The following is a 26,038-nucleotide window of genomic DNA, read 5'->3' as shown; positions in this document are numbered from 1 at the left end:
AAAGGCTGCAGCTTGTCTCTTCGCTTAGTGCTGTGGGTTGCTTTGTAGAGGCTGCAACAGGCCTGGTCCTTACTGGGATTAGGAAATCTCATCATGCAAGTTCTGTCCAGCTAAGGTTCCTTTCCCTCTGGCGTGAATCCTACTACCTATTTCAGTAAGAGGTACAGTGAGAAGGGGGCCTTTGGCCCTCCAACAGGTTGTCCTGCTGCTATAAACCATTGAAAACTGGAATTCTGATCCCAGCAGCCTATGCAAGAGGTGAATATAAAAAGGGGCTGCTTTGCTTGAAGTGGAAAGCTTTGAGTTGAGCTCGTTCCAGGCAATCACACTGTCTGCCATTTTATACAGTCTATTTCTGTCTTCCTGTACACATCCCTCAATTTGCATTCCTGCTGAAACTTGCCACTAGTCCTGCCTTTCTGTGTGGGAGGTGGGATGGATTTGGAGGATAAAAAGAAAGGCCTTTTTGTGAGGGAGGAGAATACAGGACTTTCACTAGCTGTTCCTCCTAGATGTCTTCAGAGAAACATTTTGTCTCTTTGTCTCTTTGAGGGTTGTGACAGAAACTCTCTTTAACACAGCCATCAGCCTTATTTCTTTATGTGTTTTACTTTTGACTGAGCTTGAACAAACTTAGCTCATTTTTTTTAAAGGGTAATTCGCATAATGGGAAGATGAACTATAGGGAGATAGAGACAGAATTCTAAAGATGGTTTACATACAAAGGGTGATTCAAAAGGACAATCAAAGGCCTTCGATATATTTCACTAGATTTTAAGGGATATGAGAATGTCCGCTATTAGAGATTTATTCTCTCAGATTCAGTTTTGGTCCTTTCTAGGTATCCACATCTTACCCAGGGTTGGGGGAATGCCTAGAGAGAACCATAACTGAACATTCTAGCATGAATTAGCTCATCAAAAATTTGCAGTTGACTCATCCTTTCCCAGTAACCAGTTACTGTTCATTGCCAATATATTGGACTTGGATCTTTTTCTCCATTCTTAAGGGAAACGAGCTTAATTGTGTAAGTACACAATCCTTAACAGGCTCAAAAAGTAACTGGTATGAGTCAAAACTTGGAGTAGCCAAGCAGTTTCGATGATTGTATAAACAAGGTCCAAAAGTCAATTTTTTTAGACTATTAAATGTAGGTCAGATGCAAGAAGAGAATTAAATTGTAACAGAAGTGACTCAAATGAGAAACTTCCACCAGACTAATGGCTCTTTGAGGACAGAAGGCATGCCATGTTCTTCTCTGGGCCCTTAACAGTTACCGTGGTGGCTGAATTATCATGAGCACTGAATGAATGCTACTCAGTAAGTGAATGAATTAAGACAACTTCCTTGAATAAAAGACCAATTCTAGAGTGTATTAATAATGTTGGGGAGTCCTTTATCATATAGATTTTATAAAATAATAATAAAAAGGATAGTTACTACTATGCCAGGAATGTGAAAAGTGCTTCACAGGGACAGAGAAAAAGACAGTAGATTTCTCTCTATCTTTTTTTCTTTTTGCCAAAACAAGATACACTTTGCCAGCCTTTCTTGTTCTCATCTTATCCAAATTCATTTTCCCTCAGGTCACACATCTTTTGTGATGGTTAATTATAATCTGTATTCATATAGCACTAATGATTTTCAAAGCATTTTATATGCACTATTTCTTTTTGTTCTAAAATTTAACAAAAAATTATGAAGCACTCAAAGTAGTATTCACTCCATTTTTCAGGTCAGGAACCTGAGGCATACACCGTTTAAGTCTATGATCACACAGCATTGTGTGACTGAACAAGGACTAGAAGCCAGTCCCTTTCTACAATACTACCTAAGTCTCAAAATTCAGGGATGGAGATTTGTTTGAAAAACAGCAGTTGGTTCTACTGCCTTCATGGTCATACTTTTTGTTGTTGTTCCAAATTCCTCCTTTATACTCCTTTCTAGGCATATGAAGCTGACACTTGAGAAATGGCCAAGCCAGACATTATCTCAACTTTGGGGTTTCAATTTACTCTCTTTTTTTCCTTCTTCAGTACAGAGTTGATGCTTAATTGCCTCTAAAACACCATTGTGTAGGACATCTTTCTACCTCTACTTAAGCCAGTTGACACAAAAGTCTTCTGAAATTTGTTACCCAGAAGGCATTGCCTCCTCTCTCTCTCTCTCTCTCTCTCTCTCTCTCTCTCTCTGTCTGTCTGTCTGCCTCAGCTTTCACTGACAGTCACAGGAGGAGCAACTCTTGTGCTAGCTGATAGTTCATTGAGTTGTTTCTTCCCTGGGGCTGGCACCTTTCTCACAGAGATTCAAAAGGCAGCAGGTCTAGTGTAATTGCCAGCCCAAACCCTATTTGGTGTTCCCTAATGAAATGAGTACAGCAGTGTTGTACTGAAACCATAGATGAAGTTGGCCCTCAGAGCCTGGGAAGGATGCCAGGACTAGAACAGCTTGCAAAAACCAGAGGTCTAGGCAGGCTGAGTCATTAACCATACAACAGTTAGCAACTAGGAAATAAGCTTCTATTAGGGTTAACGCAAGACCAAGGGTCAAAAACTAAATAGCAATGAACAATAGTAACAGCAGCAACACCCTGGGAAATGAGATAAATTCTGCCTTAGCCCAGAAGCCTGCTGAGATGGAGCTGGTTCTTGGAGTGGTCAGCCTGGGATTCATAGGTGGAAGCAATAAAGCCATCGTCAGAGGTGGAGAGTGAAGAGTATAATGGCCAGGGCTAAGGTAAATATCTTGACAGGCATCAAATGCCCTAGACAGGGCTTCTCAACCCTGGCACTATTGACATTCTGGCCCAGATAATTCTTTGTTGTAGGGAGCTGTCCTGTGCATTGTAGGACATTTAGCAGCATTCCAGGCCTCTATGTCTTAGATGTCAGTGGCACCCCTCCTCCGAGTTGTTACAACCAAAAATGTCTCCAGATATTGTCCAATATTTTCTGGGAGGAGGTTATTGGAGGGAGGCAAATCACCCCTGGTTAAGAACCATTGCAGGCCAGGCACAGTGGCTCCCTCCTGTAATCCCCACACTTTGAGAGGCTGAAGCAGGCGGACTGCATGAGCCCAGGAGTTCCAGACCAGCCTGGGCAACATAGCAAAACCCCATTTCTACGAAAAATACAAAAATTAGCCGGGCCTGGTGACTTGCGCCTGTAGTCCCAGCTACACAGGAGGCTGAAGTGGGGAGGATGGCTTGAGCCCAGGAGGCAGAGGTTGCAGTGAGATATGATCGCACCAGTGCACTCCAGTCTGAGTGACAGAAGCTGTGAATTCTGAAAGCTTATTGGCCTTGAGCCTTCTGTATTTACTAAATTATCTCCCAACCAGGAAAACTAAGGTAGCAGCTATAGGCATCTGCAATCTCATACTTCCCAAATGCTTTTTCATACCTAGTGCTTGGCTCATCACTTCCACTAGACTGTTGAAATTCCTAATAACATTGAACACTTAGAATTTTCCCCAAATTCCACTTAATTGCAAACTCAGTGGTGAATCTGCTCATGGTTTCAATTTCTGAGCACTTAATAGATGGTTTACATGCTAACTGGAACACATGTGTAAATACTTTTTACTTTTTGCAGTTGAATTCTAAAAGATATACTGTTTCTGTTTTCTTATTGTTTACCTTGAGCTTGTCATTTCTTCATTTTCATTTATTTCCCTACTTCCATTCAATCATATCTGTTACACTGGAAGTATATAGTCGATAAGGTGTAACACCCAGAGGCCAGAAGAGAGAAGAGGGAGACAGGATAGGGAATCTTGACTAAAGTCGTTTGGCAAAAACTGGGTCTAAGAACCTCTGTTCTGGAAAATAGTGAGTGCAAAGAACACTGTATCCTCTTACCTATCTTCCAACTCAGCTTGTTCCCTCATGAGCCCCCATACTGACTGGTATGGTTTGGCTGTGTCCTCACCCAAATCCCATCTTGAATTGTAGCTCCCATAATTCCCACATGTTGTGGAAGGGACTCAGTGGGAGATAATTGAATCATGGGGGCGGTTTCCTCCATACTGTTCTCATGGTAGTGAATAAGTCTCACAAGATCTGATGGTTTTATAAGGGGGAAACCCCTTTCACTTGGTTCTCATTCCCTCTTCTCTGCCACCATGTAAGTAAGATGTGACTTGCTCATCCTTGCCTTCCACCATGATTGTAAGGCCTCCCCAGCCATGTGAAGCTGTGAGTCAGTTAAACCTCTTTCTTTTATAATTGCCCAGTCTCCAGTATGTCTTTATTAGCAGTGTGAGAATGGACTAATACACTAACCCTTTCCCAAAAATGAGAGGAAGAAGTGTATATAATTTTCCCTCTTATCGTTGCTCTTGTGGTGGAATTGACTGTGTGTCAGAAGAAGCAGGAGATCGCTGAAGAACTATCAGAATAGCTCTGTGGACTAAGGGTACAGAAGAGATAACATGATATAGTGGAAATTGTACTAGACCAGGAGCTCAAACCCAAGTTCTAGTCCATGTCCTTTTTTTGTAGACATTTGGTCTTTGCAAATCACCTAAACTTGGTTGACCCTCAGTTTCGTTATCCATAAAATAAATTACCTGTTTGCCTACATGGTAACTATATGGTTCAGAGGAGACAATGGGGTGACTGAAGCACAAAATGCGTAAAGGCTTTTACAAATGCAAAATGGTATTATTATTATTGCTTAATCACTATTCACACATTTCCTATATTCTAGGCTATAACAACAGCTCCTTCCTTTTGCTTACAGTGGCAGATCTACTCTCCAGGACTTCCCCTCCAGATCTCCTTTCTACTCTCTACTCTATTCCACCCTGCTCTGTGTCCTGGGAAGCTGACTCTTATCAACAGGCTCCCTTGTTTTTTGGATTCCAGTTGTATTTAGCCAATGGGGAGCACTAACAAGGAGAAATGTGAGATTAGGCTATCTATTTCCAGGCACCCTGCCTGAGAGGTTGCTGGGCATTCCTTGACTGAAGGTCATAGCTCTTATCAGAGTGTTCTCTATATCTAATTGTCATTCTCTCTCCTTCCCTCTGAGTTCTGGTTCCTGATACCTCCCCTCTCTCCTTGAGGCCTAAGAGTGGTAATGAACTTCACTATTACTATTCCTAAAATTCTACAGTGCCCTCTGTGGTTCTTCTATACCCTGCCCATACTTTTGTAATCAATCCCCTTTAGTAAACTCCACTCAATTTATCCACTCTAGGAGTGTCATATATTTCCTACTGGTACACTGACTGATGGTTGATGTACCCATGAGAACTCGTTCTTTCTTCTCTCCTAACCTTCTTCTTGCATAGCAAAATATACACTTACAGAGTAGGGGATATTATGTAAGGAAATGCAGTATGTTTATGGTCATTAGTATTCTGTCCAGCCATGTTGAGGTCAGCTCCTAAGTAACAATTTCAGAATATCTATAATCAAGCTGTATGTCCCTTACCAACTGGGCAGTCATGCTTTTTTTTTCCTGTCCTCAACCAACCACTAAGGAACATTTAGAGGTCATGCCTCTCATGCCTACACTCTCCTGAAAAGTTAGCATCCTTCCTAAATTCTAGCAACCTGGGAGGCAATGGGTCTGATGCACACTCTAGTCTTTGGTTTGCCGTAAATCAGTTTGCACTCCTTTGCTTCCCTTGGACTCAGTTTGCAGAGAATGAGCTTATATCCTTTTGCTTCCTTTGGACTGGAGTCTCAGGAAGCCTGGGAAGGGGGGTACAGTTAAGCCTCTGGGATTCCACGACAGCTGCCAGCATTCTGGCCCGGGTGTCACTGCTCATTAACTGTGTCCAACCTGGAATGTTTCATAGACTGTCTGAGCTAGAAGAGACCTCAGAAATCAACTAGTCTAGAGACTCTTAATTTGGGATCTATAGACAAGCTTCAAAGGAATCCTTAACCCCCCTAAACTATATAGAAAACTAGCTATCTATGGGCATATATGCATTTTTTCTAGGGAGAAGACCTACAGCTTTCATCAAATTCTCTAAAGGGCTTGTGACACAAAAAAGATATAGATCTCAAAAGGCTCTAGATCAGCACCTTCTCCTTATAGCAGAAGAAACAGACCCAGAGAGAAAGCAGTGAGCCAGTGTCAAGTTGTAACCTAGAATGCAGGTAGACAATAACTTTCTTTTCTTTTCTTTTCTTTTCTTTTTTTTTTTTTAACAAACCTTTCCTTCCCCTACGTGATTCAAAAGCAATATCCCTCTCATGCTTTGTGTCTAGCAGACACCAGGAAACTGTTAAATGCAACAGATAACTGTAATGGGCCCTACAAGCACACTCTCTTATTTTAATTGACCTTACTAAACAGAACCTAGAGTTGTGTGGGGCCCAGAGCCAACCTTAGGGCTTAATGGTGCCAAGGGATCAAGCAGGGTTTTTCCACCCCAGTTCTTTCTGATGAATGGAGTTCTGTCTCGTCTCTGTTTCTCTGAGCCAATTTGTCCCCAGGGCCTTGTGGAAGGGCAGGTGTCAGTCCTGGGCATGTACTCAACAGCCCAACTCCAGCGCCTCTGCAGCTGTTCTCATCCTTGAGAGGCCCCCAGTGGGAGCTGACACAGACTCTTGGAAAAATGGCAAAGACAAAATAAGGAAAGAACACCCTTGAGCATCGAGGGGCTGCCAGCCTTCCAATCAGGCTGGTATTGCCTAGCTCAGGTTATTAAATCACCACTAGCTCCAGGTAAAATAGGGTAGAAAGTCTTATTCCTTCACATCTCCCCTCTGTGCCCTTCTTTCCCATACCACTGGTATTTTCATGCTACTCAGAGTCTCCTGCTGTTTTTCCTTACCTGGGTCTCCCCTGTCTAGGAAATGCCTTTGCAGTATACCTTAGGTACCTATAGTGTCAGAATAAATTAGACAATCTTGAGTTCTAGTATCAGCTCTGTCATTAGCCAGCAATGTGACCTTGTACAGGTCACTGAACCTTCATGGACCTTGACATTTCATTTATTAAAAATGAGGCCAATGAACCAAATGAGGTAATGAAGATAAGGGCACCTGACACATGTAAAACAGCAAAAGCTATGTAGGATCATTATGGCCCTTCACCATTCAAAGATAAACTATTTTAAAGGTTGAAAACAATAAATTTGAAGACCAATATCTCAGCTGAGATCTGACAGCCCAGATTTAATATAGCTGGGTTGCCTGGGGGAAATTCTAAAATGGGGAGAGGAGAGTCACCATTGGCTATGGGGCTAAGAAGATCAGTGGAAAAATGAGTTGACAGAACACGATCTATTCGAAAAGTTTATTATGGCACTTTACAGCCAAAAGACCAATGTAAAGAGCTTCTGAGGACCAGTCACTCTTCACCAGGAAAGAGTGGAGAGAAATTCAGTCAGATCTAGTGGCTGGAGGATCAGACGGGCGTCAGTCTCAATATGACTTGCTATAGGAATAGGTAAACTGGCTGCACAGGGGCTGGGAATTCCCAGAAAATGATACAGATAGTAGGAAAAGAATATCAATTTTTCCCTTCACAATCAGCTAGTCAACACTTTTTCTTAAGGGCCTGGGATGGGTCATTTTCTGTAGCTAAGCCCCACAAGGCAAGCCAAAGGAAATCGGTGTCTTCAAGAAATGGATGCTTTGATGGGTGAAAGAGGGAGAAAAGACAAAACTCATCATATAATGATCCAGGCACTCAAAGAAATGGATTTTAGTTGGGAAGGGGGGTGACATTGTGTTGTTTTTAAGCAAATAATCAGAAAACAAAAAGATCAAGAATTAAGTAAGCAAGTCAGTTTCATCTCTTATGACTTACTCTTCCATAAGATGCAGAGGACAGTGATCACTAGTAGTCCACAGATAACCTTATTATATTGCAATATCCTTAATTATGAAACTAAGATTTAATTATGGGTTTTAGATTCTTCTTACTCTTGCTTGTTACTACTACTAATAATAATTTTTAAATATGTGTTTTTTTGTACTTTAACTTAGTAGGGATAGAATGGTGAACAAACAGGTGAGGTCTCTACTCTTGTGGAGCCTAAATTCTTATGGTGGTGGTGGTTCTAGTTTATATTGGGCAATAGGTAAGACATCTCCATATAGGTGAACTTTGACTTCTGTTACTGTAATATGTCAGAATAAGTATTTTAAAAGGCCTTTTGGCTACAATATAAGTAAATTCTGAATAAATTTTAATAATCATTTTTACATTTCTTTTTTTAACAGTTTTATTGTTATATTATTCACATAATGTATAATTCACCCATTTAAAGTGTATAATTCAATGGTTTGGGTATATTATATTATTAATGTTTTTAATTTGGTCAAATATGTGTAACATAAATTTTGCCATTTTAATGTGTGCAATTAATTTTAATAATCTTATGTGTACAATTCAGTGGCTTTAGTTACATTCACAGTATCGTTCGATCAGTATCTAGTTCTAGAACTTTTTAAACTTTTAACATGACAACCAACTGTTACCATTAAGCAATGACTTCTTATTCCTTCCTCCCACTAGCTGCTGGCAACTTCTAATCCAGTCTTTGATCCTATGAATTTGTCTCTTCTAGATATTTCATACAAGTGGAATCACACAATCTTTGTCCTTTTCTGTCTGGTTATTTCACTTAACATAATGTTTTCAAAGTCCATGTTGTAACATATATCAGAACTGCATTCTTTTTTGTAGCTGAATAATATTCCATTGTATGGATATACCACATTTTGTTTATCCTTTTCATCTGTTGTCTCTTCTAGCTCTGACAGTCTATGAAACATTCCAGATTGAACACAAAAGCCAAAATTGACAAATGGGTTCTAATTAAACTAAAGAGCTTCTGCACAGCAAAAGAAGCTATCATCAGAGTGAACAGGCAACCTACAGAATGGGAGAAAAATTTTGCAATGTACCCATCTGACAAAGGTCTAATATCCAGAATTACAAGAAACTTAAACAAATTTACAAGAAAAAAAAAAACCCATGAAAAAGTGGGCAAGGGATATGAACAGACTTCTCAAAATAAGACATTATGTGGCCAGCAAACATAGGAAAAAAAGCTCAACATCACTGATCATTAGAGTAATGCAAATCAAAACCACAACGAGTTGCTATCTCACACCAGTCAGAATGGTGATTATTAAAAAGTCAAGAAACAATAGATGCTGGCAAGGCTGTGGAGAAATGGGAATGCTTTTACGCTGTTGGTGGGAATGTAAATTAGTTCAACCATTGTGGAAGGCAGTAGGGCGATTCCTCAGGGATCTACAACTAGAAATACCATTTGACCCAGCAATCCCATTACTGGGTATATACCCAAAGGATTATAAATCATTCTACTATAAAGACGCATGACTGGCGTGAGATAGTATCTCATTGTGGTTTTGATTTGCATTTCTCTAATGATCAGTGATGTTGAGCTTTTTTTCCTATGTTTGTTGGCCATGTAAACGTCTTATTCTGAGAAGTCTGTTCATATCCTTTGCCCACTTTTTCATGGGGTTGTTTGTTTTTTTCTTGTAAATTTTGTTTAAGTTCCTTGTAAATTCTGGATATTAGACCTTTGTCAGATGGGTACATTGCAAAAATTTTCTCCCATTCTGTAGGTTGCCTGTTCACTCTGATGATAGTTTCTTTTGCCTTGCAGAAGCTCTTTAGTTTAATTAGAACCTATTTGTCATTTTTGGCTTTTGTTGCAATTGCTTTTGACGTTTTTGTCGTGAAGTCTTTGTCCGTGCCTATGTCCTGAATGGTATTGCCTAGGTTTTCTTCTAGGGTTCTTATGGTTTTGGGTTTTACATTTAAGTTTTTAATCCATATTGAGTTAATTTTTGTGTAAGATATAAGGAAGGGGTCCAGTTTCAGTTTTCTACATATGGCTAGCCAGTTTTTCCCAGTACCATTTATTGAATAGGAGATGCTTTCCCCATTGTTTGTTTTTGTCAGGTTTGTCGAAGATCAGATGGTTGTAGATGTGTGGTATTATGTCTGAGGTTGCTGTTTTGTTCCATCAGTCTATATGACTGTTTTGCTACCAGTAACGTGCTGTTTTGGTTACTGTAGCCTTCTAGTATAGTTTGAAGTCAAGTAGCGTGATGCCTCCAGCTTTGTTCTTTTGCTTAAGATTGTCTTGGCTATACAGGGTCTTCTTTGATTCCATATGAAATTTAAAGTGTTTTTTTTCTAATTCTGTGAAGAATGTCAATGGTAGTTTGATGGGAATAGCACTGAATATATAAATTACTTTGGGCAGTATGGCCATTTTCACGATATTGATTTTTCCTATCCATGAGGATGGAATGTTTTTCCATTTGTTTGTGTCCTCTCTTATTTCCTTGAGCAGTGGTTTGTAGTTCTCCTTGAAGAGGTCCTTCATATCCCTTGTTAGCTGTATTCCTAGGTATTTTATTCTTTTTTTGTAGTGATTGTGAGTGGGAGTTCATTCATGATTTTGTTCTCTGCTTGTCTATTGTTGGTGTAAAGGAATGCTTGTGATTTTTGCACATTGATTTTGTATCCTGAGATTTTGCTGAAATTGCTTGTTAGTTTAAGGAGTTTTGGGGCTGAGATGATGGGGTTTTCTAAATGTAAAATCATGTCATCTACAAACATATACAATTTTACTTCCTCTCTTCCTACTTGAATACCGTTTATTTATTTCTCTTGACTGATTGCCCTGGCCAGAACTTCTAATACTATGATGAATAGGAATGGTAAGAGAGGGCATCCTTGTCTTGTACCAGTTTTCAAAAGAAATGCTTCTAGCTTTTGCCCATTTAATTTGATATTGGCTGTGGGTTTGTTATAAATTGTTCTCACTATTTTGAGATATGTTCCATCAATACCTAGTTTATTGAGAGATTTTAACATGAAGGAATGTTGAATTTTATCAAAGCCTTTTCTGCATCTATTGAGATAATCATGTGGTTTTTGTCTTTGGTTCTGTTTATGTGATAGATTATGTTTATTGATTTGCATATGTTCAACCAGCCTTGCATCCCAGGATGAAGCCGACTTGTTCATGATGCATAAGTTTTTTTGATGTGCTACTTGATTCGGTTCACCAGTTATTTTATTTTTTTTGAGATGGAGTCTCGTTCTGTCGCCCAGGTTGCAGTGCAGTGGCGCGATCTCCACTCACTGCAACCTCTGCCTCCCAGATTCAAGCCATTCTCCTGCCTCAGACTCCTGAGTAGCTGGGACTACAGGTGCCCACCACCATGCCCAGCTCATTTTTGTATTTTTAGTAGAGATGGGGTTTCACCATGTTGGCCAGGCTGGTCTCAAACTCCTGACCTCAGGTGATCTGACCACCTTAGCCTCCCAAAGTGCTGGGATTACAAGAGTGAGCTGCCGCACCCAGCCTGCCAGTATTTTATTGAAAATTTTTGCATCTATGTTCATCAGGGATATTGGCCTGAAATTTTCTATTTTTTGTTGTATTTCTTCCTGGTTTTGGTATCAGGATGATGCTGGCTTCATGAAATGAGGTAGGGAGGAGTCCCTCCTTTTCAGTCGTTTGGAATTGTTTCAGAAATAATGGTACCAGCTTCTCTTTGTACCTCTTGTAGAATTTGGCTGTGAATCTGTCTGGTCCTGGGCTTTTTTTTTTTTTTTTCTTGGTTGGTAGGCTATTAATTACTGACTCAATTTCAGAACTTGTTATTGGTCCAGTCAGGGATTCAATTTCTTCCTGGTTTAGTCTTGGGAGGGTGTATGTATCCAAGAATTTATCCATTTCTTCTAGATTTTCTAGTTTATTGGCATAGAGGTGTTTATAGTATTCTCTGATGATAGTTTGTATTTCTGTGAGGTCAGTGGTGATATCCCCTTTATCATTTTTATTGTGTCTATTTTGTTCTTCTCTCTTTTCTTTTTATTAGGCTAGCTAGCTGTTTATCTATTTTGTTAATTAAAAAAAAAAAAACCCAGCTGTTGGATTCACTGATTTTGGGGGTGGGGGGGAGTTTGTGTGCTTATCTCCTTCAGTTCTGCTCTGATCTTAGTTATTTCTTGTCTTCTGCTAGCTTTTGGATTAGTTTGCTCTTGCCTCTCTAGCTCTTTTAATTGTGATGTTAGGTTGTCAATTTGATATCTTTCTAGGTTTCTGATGTGGGCATTTAGTGCTGTAAATTTCCCTCTTAACACTGCTTTAGCTGTGTCCTAGGGATTCTGGTACGTAGTCTCTTTGTTCTCTTTGATTTCAAAGAACTTCTTGATTTCTGCCTTAATTTCATTATTTAACCAGGAGTCATTCAGGAGCAGTTTGTTCAATTTCCATGTAATTGTGTGGTTTTGAGTGAGTTTCTTAATCCTGAGTTCTAATTTGATTGCACTGTGGTCTGAGAGACCGTTTGTTAGGATTTCAGTTCTTTTGCTTTTGCTGAGGAGTGTTTTACTTCCAATTATGTGGTTGATTTTAGAATAAGTGCCATGTGGTCCTGAGAAGAATGTGTATTCTCTTGATTTGGGGTGGAGAGTTCTGTAGATGTCTTTTAGGTCCACTTGATCCAGAGCTGAGTTAAAGTCTGGAATATCCTTGTTAATTTTCTGTCTCGTTGATATGTCTAATATTGACAGTGGGGTGTTAAAGTCTCCCACTATTATTGTGTGGGAGTCTAAGTCTCTTTGTAGGCCTCTAAGAACTTGTTTTTTGAATATGGATGCTCCTGTATTGGATGGATATATATATATATATATATATATATATATATATATATATATAATAGTTAGCTCTTCTTGTTGAATTGTTCCCTTTACAATTATGTAATGTTCTTCTTTGTCTTTTTTTGATCTTTGTTGGTTTAAAGTCTGTTTGGTCAGAGACTGGGATTGCAACTCCTGCTTTTTTTTTTTTTTTTTTGCTTTCCTTTTGCTTGGTAAATTTTCCTCCATCCCTTTATTTTGAGCTGGTGTGTGTCTTTGCACGTGAGATGCATCTCCTGAATATAGCACACCAATAGGTCTTGACTCTTTATCCAATTTTCCAGTCTGTTGTTTTAATTGGGGCATTTAGTCCATTTAAATGTAAGGTTAGTATTGATATCTGTTAATCTGGTCCTGTCATAATGATGCTATCTGGTTATTTTGCACACTATTTGATGCAGTTTCTTCATAGTGTCATTGGTTTTTATATTTTGGTGTGTTTTTGCAGTGGCTGGTACCAGTTTTTCCCTTCCATATTTAGTGCTTCTTTCAGGAGCTCTTTCAAGGCAGGCCTAGTGGTAATGAAATCCCTCGGCATTTGTTTGTCTGGAAATGATTTTATTTCTCCTTTGCTTATGAAGCTTAGTTTGACTGGATGTGAAATTCTCAGTGGAAAATTCTTTTCTATAAGAATGTTAAATATTGGCCCCCAATCTCTTCTGGCTTGTAGAGTTTCTGCTGAGAAGTCTGCTGTTAGTCTGATGGGCTTACCTCTGTAGGTGACCTGGCCTTTCTCTCTGGCTGCCCTTAACATTTTTTCCTTCATTTAGACCTTGGAGAATCTGATGATTATGTGTCTTGGGGTTGATCTTCTCATGGAGTATCTTAGTGGTGTTCTCTGTATTTCCTGAATTTGCATATTGGCCTGTCTTGCTAGGTTGGGGAAGTTCTCCTGGATAATACCCTGAAGTGTGTTTTTTGGCTTGTTTCCATTCTCCCTGTCTCCTTTATGTACTGCAATCAATCGTAGGTTCAGTCTTTTTGCGAAGTCCCATATTTCTTGGAGGGTTTGTTCATTCCTTTTCATTCTTTTTCCTCTAGTCTTTTCTGCATGCCTTATTTCAGTAAGGTGGTCTTCAAACTCTGATATCCTTTCTTCTGCTTGGTCGAGTCGGCTATTAATATTTGTGTATGCTTCATGAAGTTCTCGTGCTGTGTTGTTCAGCTCCATCAGGTCATTTATGTTCCTCTCTAAACTGACTATTCTAGTTAGCAGCTCCTCTAACCTTTAATCAAGGTTCTTAGCTTCTTTGCATTGGGTTAGAACATGTTCCTTTAGCTCAGCATAGTTTTTTCATTACCCATCTTCTGAAGCCTACTTCTGTCAATTCGTCAGTCTTACCCTCCTTCTAATTCTGTGCCCTTGAAGAGACATTTGGAGAAGAGGAACTCTGGGCTTTTGGGTTTTCAGCATTTTTTCATTGATTCTTTCTCATCTTCATGAGTTTGTCTAGTTTCGATCTTTGAGGCTGCTGACCTTTACATGGGGTTTTTGTGGGGGCTCTTTGGTTGTTGTTGATGCTGTTGTTGTTGCTTTCTGTTTGTTTGTTTTTCTTTCAATGGTCAGGTCCCTCTTCTGTAGGGTAGCTGTCTTTTGCTGGGGGTTCACTTCAGGCCCTATTCATCTGATTCACTCCATGCCTAGAGATGTCACTCAAGGAGGCTGGAGAACAGCAAAGATGGGTGTCTCTTCCTTCTTCTGGTATCTCTGACCTCGAGGGGCACAAACCTGATGCCAGTAGGATCACTCCTGTATGAGTTTGTCTGACAACCCCTGTTGAAGGGTCTCATTCAGTCGAGTGGCATGGGGAACAGGACCCATTTAATGAAGCACTTTGTCCCTTGGTGGAAGGGGTGTGCCTCACTGGGGGAAAACCCACTCATCTGGGCTGCCCTGATTCCTCAGAACTACCAGGAAGAAAGGCTAAGTCTGCTGGTCTACAGAGACTGCAGACCCCCTTACTCCTACAGGTTCAGGCCCACGGAGATCAGAGTTCTGCCCCTGAGCCTCTGACTAGAGTTAATAAAGTTCCTGCAGGGAATCCCCACCCAGTGAGGAAGGATGAGTCAGGGTCAGGCCTGAAGAGGCACTCTGGCCACAGTCTGCCACAGCCAGTGTGCTGGGCTGTTGTGGACATGTCTTGGGACCAAGCAGTACAGCTCCCTGGCTCCAGCAAGGGAAAAGTGTGGCCTGGAGCTATAGAGATGAGTGCTGCCCTTCCCCGACCCAGGGAGCTAAAATGTTTGGATTTTATTCTATCAGTGATGGGCAGACTTTCAAGGGTTTTAAACAGAAGAGTGATATTCCTGATTAAAATTGTAAAATACTACTCTGACTGCTTTATGCAACACAGAATAGGTATTTGTGGGGCATGGGGAGGGCATGCTGCCTAGAGAACAGTTATGAGGCTATGTTGTAGTGTATTTTAGACTAGTACCGTGACCAGGGAGAGGGAGAAAAGTGGCTCCTAATGAAAAATGACTCTCAGGTTTCTGGTTTGGGTAATTGTGAGAATTGTGCCTTTTCTTTAAGATAAGGAAAGCTGAAGGGAAGTAAAATATGGAGGAGAGAAATAACAGTTTAGTCTTGGGCATATTAAACATGGGATGCCTATCAGACAAGCAAGTGGAGATATTGAACAGGCAGTTGGATGGAAATACATGTCTAGAGTACAGGGGTAAGAAGGACCTGGAGATATCAATGTGTGAGTATTCAGTATATATATGGCATGTGTCTTAGTTAATTGTCTGTTGTTTATAACAGATTACCTGAAGCTGGGTAATATATAAAGAAACATAATTTATTTCTTACAGTCCTGGAGGCTGTGAAGTTCAAGGTCAAGGGGCCAAATCTGGTGAGGGCCTTCTTGCTGGTAGGGACTTTCTGCAGAGTTCTGAGGTGGTATAGGGCATCACATGGTAAGGGGACTGAACATGCTAGCTCAGGTCTCACTTTCTCTTCTTATAAAAGCCATCAGTTCTCCTCCCATGGTAACTCATTAATCCATTAACCCATTCATCCAGAGCCTTCATGACCCAATCATCTCTAAAAAACCCCACCTTTCAATAATGCCACATTGGGGAGTAAGTTTCAACATGAGTTTTGGAGGGGACAAACATTGAAACCATAGCAGTGTGTAAAGCCTTGGAACTGGATATGATCACCTAGTAAAAATATGTAAATAAAAAATAAAAGAGATGTAAGACCTGAGCACTGGGGCTTTCAAATACTGGAAGTCTAAAAAAGGAAAAGAATCTAGCAAAAGAGATTGAAGCAGAAGGAAATTCAGAAGATGGTGATCTCACAGAAGCAAAGAAGGAAAAGTATTTAGGGAAAAGAACTCGATCAACTTATATCCAGTGTTGCTGATGGGTTGAGTAAGATGAGGCCAGGGAAGGACCATTGGATTTGACAACATGGAAGCCATTGTTGGCCTTAACAAGAGCAGCCTTGGTGGAGCAATGGGAATGGAAGCCTGATCGGATTGAGTTGAGAGGAGAATTACAAGTATGAAAGAAAACATAAAATACCATAAATGTGGAAGTGTTTCAAAAACAGTAAAAATACCATACAAATGTAAGTGCCATTGTTATTATTTCAGCACAGATTTTAGGGAAGTTCAGGGCATTGAATAAAGAGAACTGTGCAAAAAAAAAAAAAAGGCACTACAGAACCAAGGAACTTGTTGCGCAGGCAAAAATGTTGTCATAAAAAGCCCCCAAGTAAGGCTTCAAGATAACCCCAGAAACATGAGTTTGATAAAAAAAAAAAAAAAAGTCAGGATTGTTTCCGAAAGGTTGCTGCAGTTCACCAAGCCAACTCTGTGTCAACCTCTGACTGGAGCTGGTCCAGGGCTGGTAGGTGGGAAATGTTCCAAAATACGAGTAGCAGTAACATTTAGAAAAAGCCTCATCTGTTATGTTTACTGAGATTTTATTAACTCATTTTGCAAAATTTCCCTGCCATTCTTGATAGGCAAGGCACACTGTTGGCAAGACTGAAAAATCAGTGTGGTTTGTGTTCCTTGCCACGGTGTTTCCCTCTTCTTTACCACTCTGGCCACTCCTCCTCATAGACACTCTCTGCCCTCCTCTTCACCCTGAATTCCACCAATAGATAACTCTATGTTTTGCCTGTGCAGAAGGTTGGCAGGTGAGTCTAGGCAATTAATTGTGCTCTGCACAGCTTTGGAAAATCAGAATGCCTTACTGTAGTCAACAGGATGCAACTCTTCCTAGGGCTGTTAAGAAAAAGGTACCTACCTTTGTTTTGCAATCACCTCTGCCAGGAATACCTCCATCAACCTATATCCCACTCATCCTTCAAGACTCAGTTTTTCTCTGTGAAGCCTTCCCCAGTTCATAATTAGAATTGTTCTCTTTATCTTCTGTGCTTCCCTTGTTCTTTGCATCTTTATAGTAGTGCTAACAACAGCCTGCCTTGTATTCCAATTATTTGTGTAATCCTGACTTGCTTATTATGTTGTCAACTCTTTGAAGACATGGCCCTTTATTACACATTTCTGTATCTCTTACAGAGTTCCTTTGCCCTAGTAAGTGCTTAATGTATCAATATTAGTAGAATTGAACTTTTGAAGAAAGTATTTTACAAGTTAAAAGTGAGCATCATAGATAATGTGAGCAAGACCTTACTTCTCGAGAAAACATTTATTTCTGAATAGTTAGGTAAGTGAAATGTAGAATCTACTAGAACCAGGCATGTTCAAAAACGAACTGCCAGCATCTATAATATGTGGATGGAGAATCTAATCAAGCTTAAATCAAGTCACACAGTGAAGTTTCTATTTGCAGCTAATAGACTCAAACTTCTCTGACACCGTGATCTGTTGTCTCCATTTCCCCATGTGTAATTTGACATTTAAGCCACTGGACTATCCATATAATCTATCATTCATGCTAATGCACAACCAAGCTGGCTTCCCTTCCCCCAACACCTGCTGGTTTTTTTTTTCAAAGGAAGAGCATTGAGTTAATGGTTCAATGTTAATGTGAGTTGATTTTATTGATTTTGTGCTGGAAGTTGATTAATTATAATGGTAGGTGTCATGCCTTTGTGTTCTCTTCCCTGACTTAAAAATCCAAGTATGATTCATACTGAAGCTGATGTCAGCAAGACCTTTGATCCCTGAGGATGCTGTAATGCTGTAAGTGATATTATGATGATTATTATATTTACTATTTCTGTTGCCCCCTTGTAATGGAAATTATATCTCAAAAAAACTAACTTGGAAAATCATACATGTGTAATGTTAGCTAAGGTGGACTTTGTATCACATTACCTCCATAGAATTTTAAAAAGCAGGTGTTAAGTGAGTGTGAGTTTCATTTGAGAATTATTTCTTATATTCCATTCTTCTTCTCCTCCTCCTTCTTTTCCTTCTTCTTCTTCTTTCTTTTCTCCCTCCTTCTCCCTCTCCTTGTCCTCCTTCTCCACCATATACTTGGTTATTGTTACAGTAATGAATAGGAGTTTTGTTGTCCATAGATTAAACATATCCTTAAAGAAGCTTATTTTTTCAATCCAGTAAGATGTTCTAATGCATAGCAGGCATTGATTAGGACAAATATAGATTTTCCTGTCTAGGCTATAGATATGCCTTTGAAGTCAGTGCTTTAGGATAATATGTTCTTTCAGGCAATTGAGTTATTTTGTCCTGAATTGAAGCAGAACACCTGAATGCTAGTCCCAACTCTGCCATGAGCCAGCTGTGTATCTTCGGGACACTTTGACTCTCTGCGCTTTGAGTTCTTCTTATTTAAGATGGAGAGCATTCTATTTTCCCAACCCTGTAACAAAGATGGGGGGCTGCCGTGTCTCAATAGCCAAGACATTTAGAAAAGCTGGGTATCCACATGCACAAAGTGCATTTGTCTGCATTTGGGAGCCAGTAAAATGTGGAATGGGATCACACAAAGACATCTGATGCTGAACAGCTGGATTGTAGCATGATTGTGTTTGAAGCCAGCCACACCATTGTGAGTCTGTCAGAAGCACAGGGGACTTTGCCTTTCTTAGAGGCTCCCCCAAAGAGGGGTTATCCAAAGGCTTTTCCCAAAGCCTGGGTGTGGGTAGAGAGGCTTGTGGTTGGAGGAGGGTGGATCATTGTAACAGCAACCCCTAGAGCAATATGTAAGACATTATTGTCCTACAATAGGATATCATGGCATGTGTCTGAGATGGCTGCTTTGGAGCTTTTAGGTTTTCTTCTTAGGAAGCAATTTCCACAAATACCTCCAAAATGAATGCTCTGGTGACTTTGCAGGGAAGGTTGCTGTTTGAAGCATTTACTAATTTTTTTTTACAGCTATTAGCTAGTTTCAATTTTCTATTTCTTTTTGAACTAATTTAATTATTGAGACTTTTCTTTCTTTCTTTCTTTCTTTTTTTTCGGAGTCTCTCTCTGTTGCCGGGCTGGAGTGCAGTGGTGTGATCTCGGCTCACTGCAATCTCCGCCTCCCAGGTTCGAGCAATTCTCCTGCCTCAGCTCCCCCGCACCCCCAGTAGCTGGGATTACAGGTGTGCACCACCACGCCGGACTAGTTTTTTGTATTTTAGTAAAGATGGGGTTTCACCATGTTGGCCAGGATGGTCTCAATCTCCTGACATCGTGATCCACCTGCCTTGGCCTCCCAAAGTGCTGGGATTACAGGCGTAAGTCACTGCACCTGGCCTAGACTTTTCTTTAAAAATCATCCATTTCATTTGTTTTCAAACTAATTAGCATAGTTACGTGAAGAATAGTTTCTGAATTCACATTATTTCTACTTTTCTTGTTCCTAAATTTGTATATTTGTGTTGCCTTTTAAAGTCTCTAAATGCTAATCTCCGTTGTCTGCCACAATTGATTTCATCTTTCTTATTCCTACTTTTCTGTCTTTGTGTATCCTTACAAAGCCCCTGAATATTCCTGTTTCTTACCTTCTTTGCATGCAGCTGAGGCAGAAACAGCCCTAAGTAAATTTTCACTATGTGATAAGCTCTCTACAAGGAACCACAGGAAGATATAGAGGAAGGTATGAATTTGGCTGTTAGATTCAGAAACCTGTGATCCGGTGGGGAGAACTAAGTGAGTCCTCATGAAAATACAGGCAGGTCTTGAAACAAAGTGCCAAATCCTTGAGACCACTAACAGAGGGACACTCACAGGTGAGGTATTCCTGACTCATGACCAAAAATAAAGTCAGCTAGTCAGGGTCAAAGGCAGCCTCAAATAGGAAGATATGGCAGAGATCTTCAGGGTCAAGGATGTGGCGGCAGGTAAATAGTTCAGAGATATTTGGTGTATCAGAGTTAAGGGCTCTGTGTTTTATTGAGCCAAGGTCCAAGATATTGGTAGGAGGTCTGCAGCTAGGCTCAAAACCATGTAGCCTCTGTCATTGGATCCACTACTAGGACAATATGCAGGATGCCTATTGAACTAACAGTGCTAACCAGTGACTAGGGTCATTTGGACATGGTAATCAATAGCTCTCACAGCACCAACAGATAATCCCATCCTAGTACTCATGACACTAAATTGAAATGCTCTATTTCGATGTATCTCACCTCATCAGACTGTGAGCTCCATGAAGTCATGGCCTGAGTCTTATTCATCTTTGTCTCCCCAGTGACTGATCTATATGTAAGTGCTTTGTATTGCCAAGTGGTTAAAAGGACAGGCTTTGAAGTTAGATAGATCTGTGTTTATTTGGCTTCATTGCTCTCCACCTGGAAAACTTACTTATTGTCTCTGGGTCACAGTTTTCTCAAGCCTAAAATAGTAATGACAATAAATACTGACTTCTAGAGTTTCTTGTGAGGGTAAAATGAGATGACAGATTTGGAAGTACTTACCAGAGTGCCTGTCACAGAGTAAGCATTCAGTTAGTTGGTAGCTCTGATTGTCATTCTGTGATCATGGAATGAATGGATGAAGGACAAGTGGGCCGAAGAAAGGTGTTGGCCAATTTGATGAGGTCAAGACCCAGGACTGGAAAGAGGCTTAATGAGAGTGACCCTGCAGTCCTTCAAGTCACCTTCTCTTCTCTGGGCATCTCTTGGATGATTGGGAGGCTGACACAATGGGGATAATCTTTAAGTATATCTCCTTTTGTGTAAGGCTTGCAATCGTTTTGATTGGGAAAACAGGGATTGAGTTAACCTTAGGTGGGGGTGATGTTATTAATATAAATATTTTTCTAATGTAACATATTGCTCTCTGCACCCAGCAAGCTGTTGTTAGTTTGTGAGCACCATGCCTTTGGAAAGCCATTGCTGGCAGCTTGAATGGGAAACTTAGAACAATTAGAGGCTTTGAACACTTTCAAACTAAGAGGTGGTATAAGCATGTTTTGACTTTATGGTTCCTCCAGGGGTTTCCCTGATGTGCTGGACTAATTAACAGATGTAATTAGGAAAGCTGAGAAGTGGGGAGACTGCAGGAAGCAGCATACTTTCCCAGGGACCCTCATCTCTTTGTGCAGAAAGGGGGTTGGGGAGACTGTCTGTCTGTTGTTGAGAAGCAGTAATGCTTAGGATGCTAGCAGGCATGAGGGTCCTGGGAACATGGCTCTACCAGTAGAAACTCAGGCCTATTGGGACCCATTGCTCATGATGAAGTTTTCCTCTTCTGGTTTCACAGGAAGAAATGGTATTCTGGGCCACTACCAAGTTTTCGGCCAGCTTTTAGCAAAAGTTCAATTTTTGTGTGTCCAAAGCAGTTAAGAAATGATGTCCTTCTTTTAGAACTCATTCAGATGAAGCAGCACATTTCCACTTCTGGGTCAGCTACAGTCAGGCTGCAGAAGATTTTTCTCATCTTCCTTGGCCCAGTCCCTTGCCCTAGAGTTGGGCCAGGAGCTTCCCGTCTTTGAGGCTCTGAGAAAAGGTGACATTTATAGGGCCATCTGCTGGTTGACTTTTCTTCAGAAAACGGCATTCCATTTGGACATGGTCTCAGTCTTACTCTTGATGCAATTGAAAGTACCATACATGAAACATGGATAGACAATGGTACTCAGTATATCATCCCTCACTAGGGGTCATGATTCAGACTATGAATGTGGTAGGTGTTTTAAGAAAGAGAAAACTCCTGGGAGCTGAAGATGATGGCCTAGATGGGAAGCTTTTCTCCTTGTCAGTGTAGTGTGAGGTTCATTGTCACAGGACCATCATATACAATCAGTGTTTCTGCTTTCTCCATAGGTAACTTGTCTCCATGATTTCTTTGGTGATGATGATGTGTTTATTGCCTGTGGTCCTGAAAAATTTCGCTATGCTCAGGATGATTTTTCTCTGGATGAAAATGGTAAGCATAACCACTGGGTTTTATTGCTCCATTGTTCTCTCCCCTTCTATCCTTTAGGATTTCCATGGGTTTGTATGGTGTGGAAAACATCTATGCATGATCCTTCAAGGGCTTATAATGTTGGTCTTTCTCCTGTATATTTGGATACATGGGTCATGACCCATGTAAGACTGAAAGACTGACTGGATATCCCAGAGTCCCAGGCTCCAAACTCAATAAAACTCACTATCTGCCCCAATAGTGACCATATTTCTTGAACCATATATTGTGTCACATGGGATAACAGGCACAATCAGACCACAGGAAGGAATATTTTCAGTCAGAACTTGGATATTGTACATATCCTTTTTTCTCCATTCAACGTCCTCCAACTATTTAGCTTGTGATTATGGTTCCAATTTAGAGAGATTTTTCCACAGTATTCTTAGTGTCAAACCCTTTTCACACCATCAGACTTGCTGCCCCATTCGTCTGCCTTGTGATTCAGGTTTACAGAGGGTTGTTAATAATAAGAAGGATCTAATCGTCTTCCCATCTCCCTTGGTTTGAGTCCAAGCTCCAGGTATACATTAAAGGTTAATTAGCTCACGCAGCAACAAGGGTAGAATGTGATGCTGATAGAAAGATACATTCAGAGCATATTTCCCATTTAGGAGAAGCAAAGTGTGAAAAAAAATCAAAGGGAATTTTGCTAATATAGACTTTATAAACAACTCAAGTGACAAGAACCCTGTAAGAGGTGGCATTTCTGCTGTGTTCCCTTTAGGAAGAAGCAATGACTATAGAATAGCTAAACAAACCTCAGGTTATGTCCAATTTCCTATACCTTCTGTATCTTCAGCTCTGGACAGTGATCACTAAAGGTCACCAACCAAAACAAGAAGTGAAACAAACAAAAGGGGGCTTTCTGCTTAACTCAGTTTCCTAAAATATTCAATTTACCAGAAAAGCTCCTCTAATCTTTCTGTTTAATTTATATTTCAATGCACCTTTAAGTAGGAGGCAACAAGAAAGTGTTTAAAGGAAAGGAGAGACTATATCCTCTACTCTGCTGTTTGATTCCCCTTTGTGCATCACAGCACAAGGTTGGAAAAACTGTAGTAGAAAGAGCACTAAACTGGAACTCAGGGGACTTGACTTTTAGACCTTGTTTTACTAATTTCTTGTTTTGTGGCCCTAGGCAAAGGGGTTAAGTTTTTTGTACTCTCATCAGCAAAATGAGAATAATAATCCTTCTAATAAATTAGCACTATTAGTGCCCAAAATGACCATAGAAGGGGATGCTGAGTGACCTGCATAGAAAGGGTGTTCCAAAGGTGTCAGACTGAGGCTAGGGCAAATACAAGAACATTTGGCAGACTCTCCCACACACCAGCAAGCTTTCTTAAGTTTTTAGTGGCAGAGTCACTGCTGGCCCATTTATTCATTAACCCCCCATAAGGGATGGCAATAACATACATGGGAAATCGAAAAGAACTTGATAAATGCAAGATGGTGGTGGTCATAGTGCTTATTTATATAAAGTGACATGATATCCATCATGTGTCTATCAACGTGTGGCATGTAATAGTAAGTGGTAGCTCTCTACCTCTCCTTCAAATTACTCAATGGATGTTTCATCTGTGTAGCTGTAACCTCTGAGTTGTTAATCTCTAATTCAGGGAAATTAATTAAACATTATATCAATAGGTGCTATTCTGAGACATAGCTAGCTTGTCCATAAATGATTGAATTGACTATTTAATTGCCTACTTGACCTGTTTATGGACTCTTGCCCTTGTTTTCGTAATTCAGGGGCTTAAACACCTAGCTTAGCCCAGGTGGCTTTTGAAGGTTTCCCTAATGCCTCCCTCCCCAGAACCATGGCTCCTACTAATAATAAGGACCACATTGTAGTCCTGACCCATTTAGGTCCTTTGGCCTGTGATGGTTATTGCGGTTTCCAGAGGCTGATAACATGCTGAGCCTGTTTTATCCTCTACTAAGCTGTCTGTGTCCTTTTGCCCCAGAATGCCGAGTCATGAAGGGAAACCCATCAGCCACAGCTGGCCCAAAGGCATCCCCAACACCTCAGAAGACTTCAGCCAAGAGCCCTGGTCCTATGCGCCGAAGCAAGTCTCCAGCTGACTCAGGTAACGACCAAGACGGTGAGTGCTCTTTTCCTAACTGTGCACGCTGACTTCATTTATGGAGGACAATACTTTCTGCATGCAGAGGAATCAGTTCCTCATGAACACCACTGTGTCTCCATGAAACCCTATTCTATCAATTCAGGGACTAAAACAGTCAAACTTGTTTGGAGTCATGGAGGCACAGCTACAACCATTATTCCATTCAAATGGATGCAAACCAGAAGCCTGGCCCATTGTCTATGCTTGCTGTAATGTTTATTTTCATGGTTGTCATCATTTTCATCATCTTCAACATCATGTGGCAAAAACATATTCAATGGAATAATCAAATTAACCATAAACCTGAAATTAAAAATCAGAATCAAGAAAAAGAATATAAAAAACAACACCCCAAAGTGTCAACATAGTTGACTCACTTGAGCTTCAAATTTGACTCTGAAGTAATTAGAAGCCAAAACAAAAAGGGAAACAAGTACACTACATATATATGCCATATAAATAGGGGGACAAGATAAATTGTATAAACCTCACAACCGGAAAGTAAAGCACAGACCAGGTTCTAAAAGAAAACAAAGAGATTTGCCATAGAAGATTCTATTTAGTGGATAGTGAGTTATCTAAAACATGTCGTCTATTGATCACTGCCAACCCATGAACTATTTATTACCAGTCAGTCTGTGGCAAGATTAGGAGCTTGTGCCAAATGTAAATAAACTATGCCATTAAGCAAACCATTTAGCTCAGCTGCCTTTTTTTCAGAGCCTGATTTTATTGATGAAGGCAGCAGTATGTTGATTTGCATTCTGATGTGAACCCTATCTTGTCTTGGACCCACAGTTTGAGTGACACTGATCTAAGAGGCAATGTCTTCCATTCTTTTATAACAAATATCAAAAATAAAAGGCCTTAGAAGTCCAAGTTCAGAAGCTTAGATTTATGCACAATTTGAGGTTCTTCACACTAAGGAAACTATATGGTCCAAAATACTTATACATTTGTCATCCCAAGGCTCAGAATTTATCATGAGAATTCTTGCAGTCTGAGAGCCTTGGGAAAACAAAAGGGCCCTTCAGTTTGGGGCATCATGAGTAGCCTGATGGCTATGAAATGCTGGTGCCAAGATGAATAGCCTGTACTGCCTGCATCAGACTGCCAGGAGCATGCATATTACCAGCCATCTCTTTATTCTTGGGTTGAGGAAATTAAAGTATGAAAAGGCAACCCAGGCTTTTAGTACTTCCATGTCTTTGCACTCCCTGTTCCCCCATACCTGGAATGCCATCCTCTAACCCATCAGCCTTTTTTGCTTGAAAACTCCTATTCATCCTTCAAGACCTCACATAGAGATAATTGTTCCAGTCTCTGCAATACCATAGCATGCCATTCATATCTTTGGGGTAATATTCACCACACTGTGTTGTCAAGTATGTGTTTACCTGTCTACTTCCCCAATTAAATGCTGAGCCCCTCAAAGGTAATGTGGTAGGTTCATTTTCATATCATCAGTGCAGAGCATAGTGCCTGGCCCCTAGTAGATGCTCCAGTAATATTTGTGAATAAATAGATGCACAACAGTACCTATTTTACCCAACATGGTGCTAGAGACCAATCAAGCATTTAGATAATGTTTGCTGAAGAAATAAAAAATACATGTGCCTTGATGCTATCTTGTTCAAATGTACAGAAGAGCACATAAATCTATATCTAAGCAAATTTATATTGCTGAAACTACAAAGACCTAGGTTTTAACACCTGGGCTGAGAATAAAATTTGACAGTTTTTAAGCAGAGAATTGCAAAAAATACACTTTAAAACACTTGGTCAAGATTAATAAAGTCTGGCAATAATTGCTTAGCTAATCATTTCTCAGAAACAGCAGTAGCTATTTCTGGGATTTCTAACCTGTATTACTTGTATCCTGCTGTGA

The 26,038-nt window shown here is 40.3% G+C and overlaps 1 protein-coding gene across 11 annotated transcripts in view; it reads left to right on the top strand.

The window, feature by feature from the left end:
* Positions 1-26,038, top strand: part of DCX (doublecortin) — a 118,414-nt gene that overhangs the window by 57,163 nt on the left and 35,213 nt on the right. For 6 of the 11 annotated variants that reach the window (NM_001369373.1, NM_178153.3, NM_001369372.1 and 3 more), the window contains exons 4-5: positions 21,877-21,979; positions 23,989-24,111. In NM_001369373.1, the coding sequence (NP_001356302.1) occupies positions 21,877-21,979; positions 23,989-24,111 (226 nt within the window). Of the gene's footprint in view, positions 1-21,876; positions 21,980-23,988; positions 24,127-26,038 lie in introns of all 11 variants that reach the window. The other 5 variants (NM_001410715.1, NM_178152.3, NM_001195553.2 and 2 more) reach the window with 1 other exon arrangement.

Source organism: Homo sapiens, chromosome X (assembly GCF_000001405.40).
Source record: "Homo sapiens chromosome X, GRCh38.p14 Primary Assembly".
In the NCBI taxonomy this organism is placed as follows: domain Eukaryota; kingdom Metazoa; phylum Chordata; class Mammalia; order Primates; family Hominidae; genus Homo; species Homo sapiens.
This window is presented reverse-complemented; position numbering and strand designations above follow the sequence as displayed.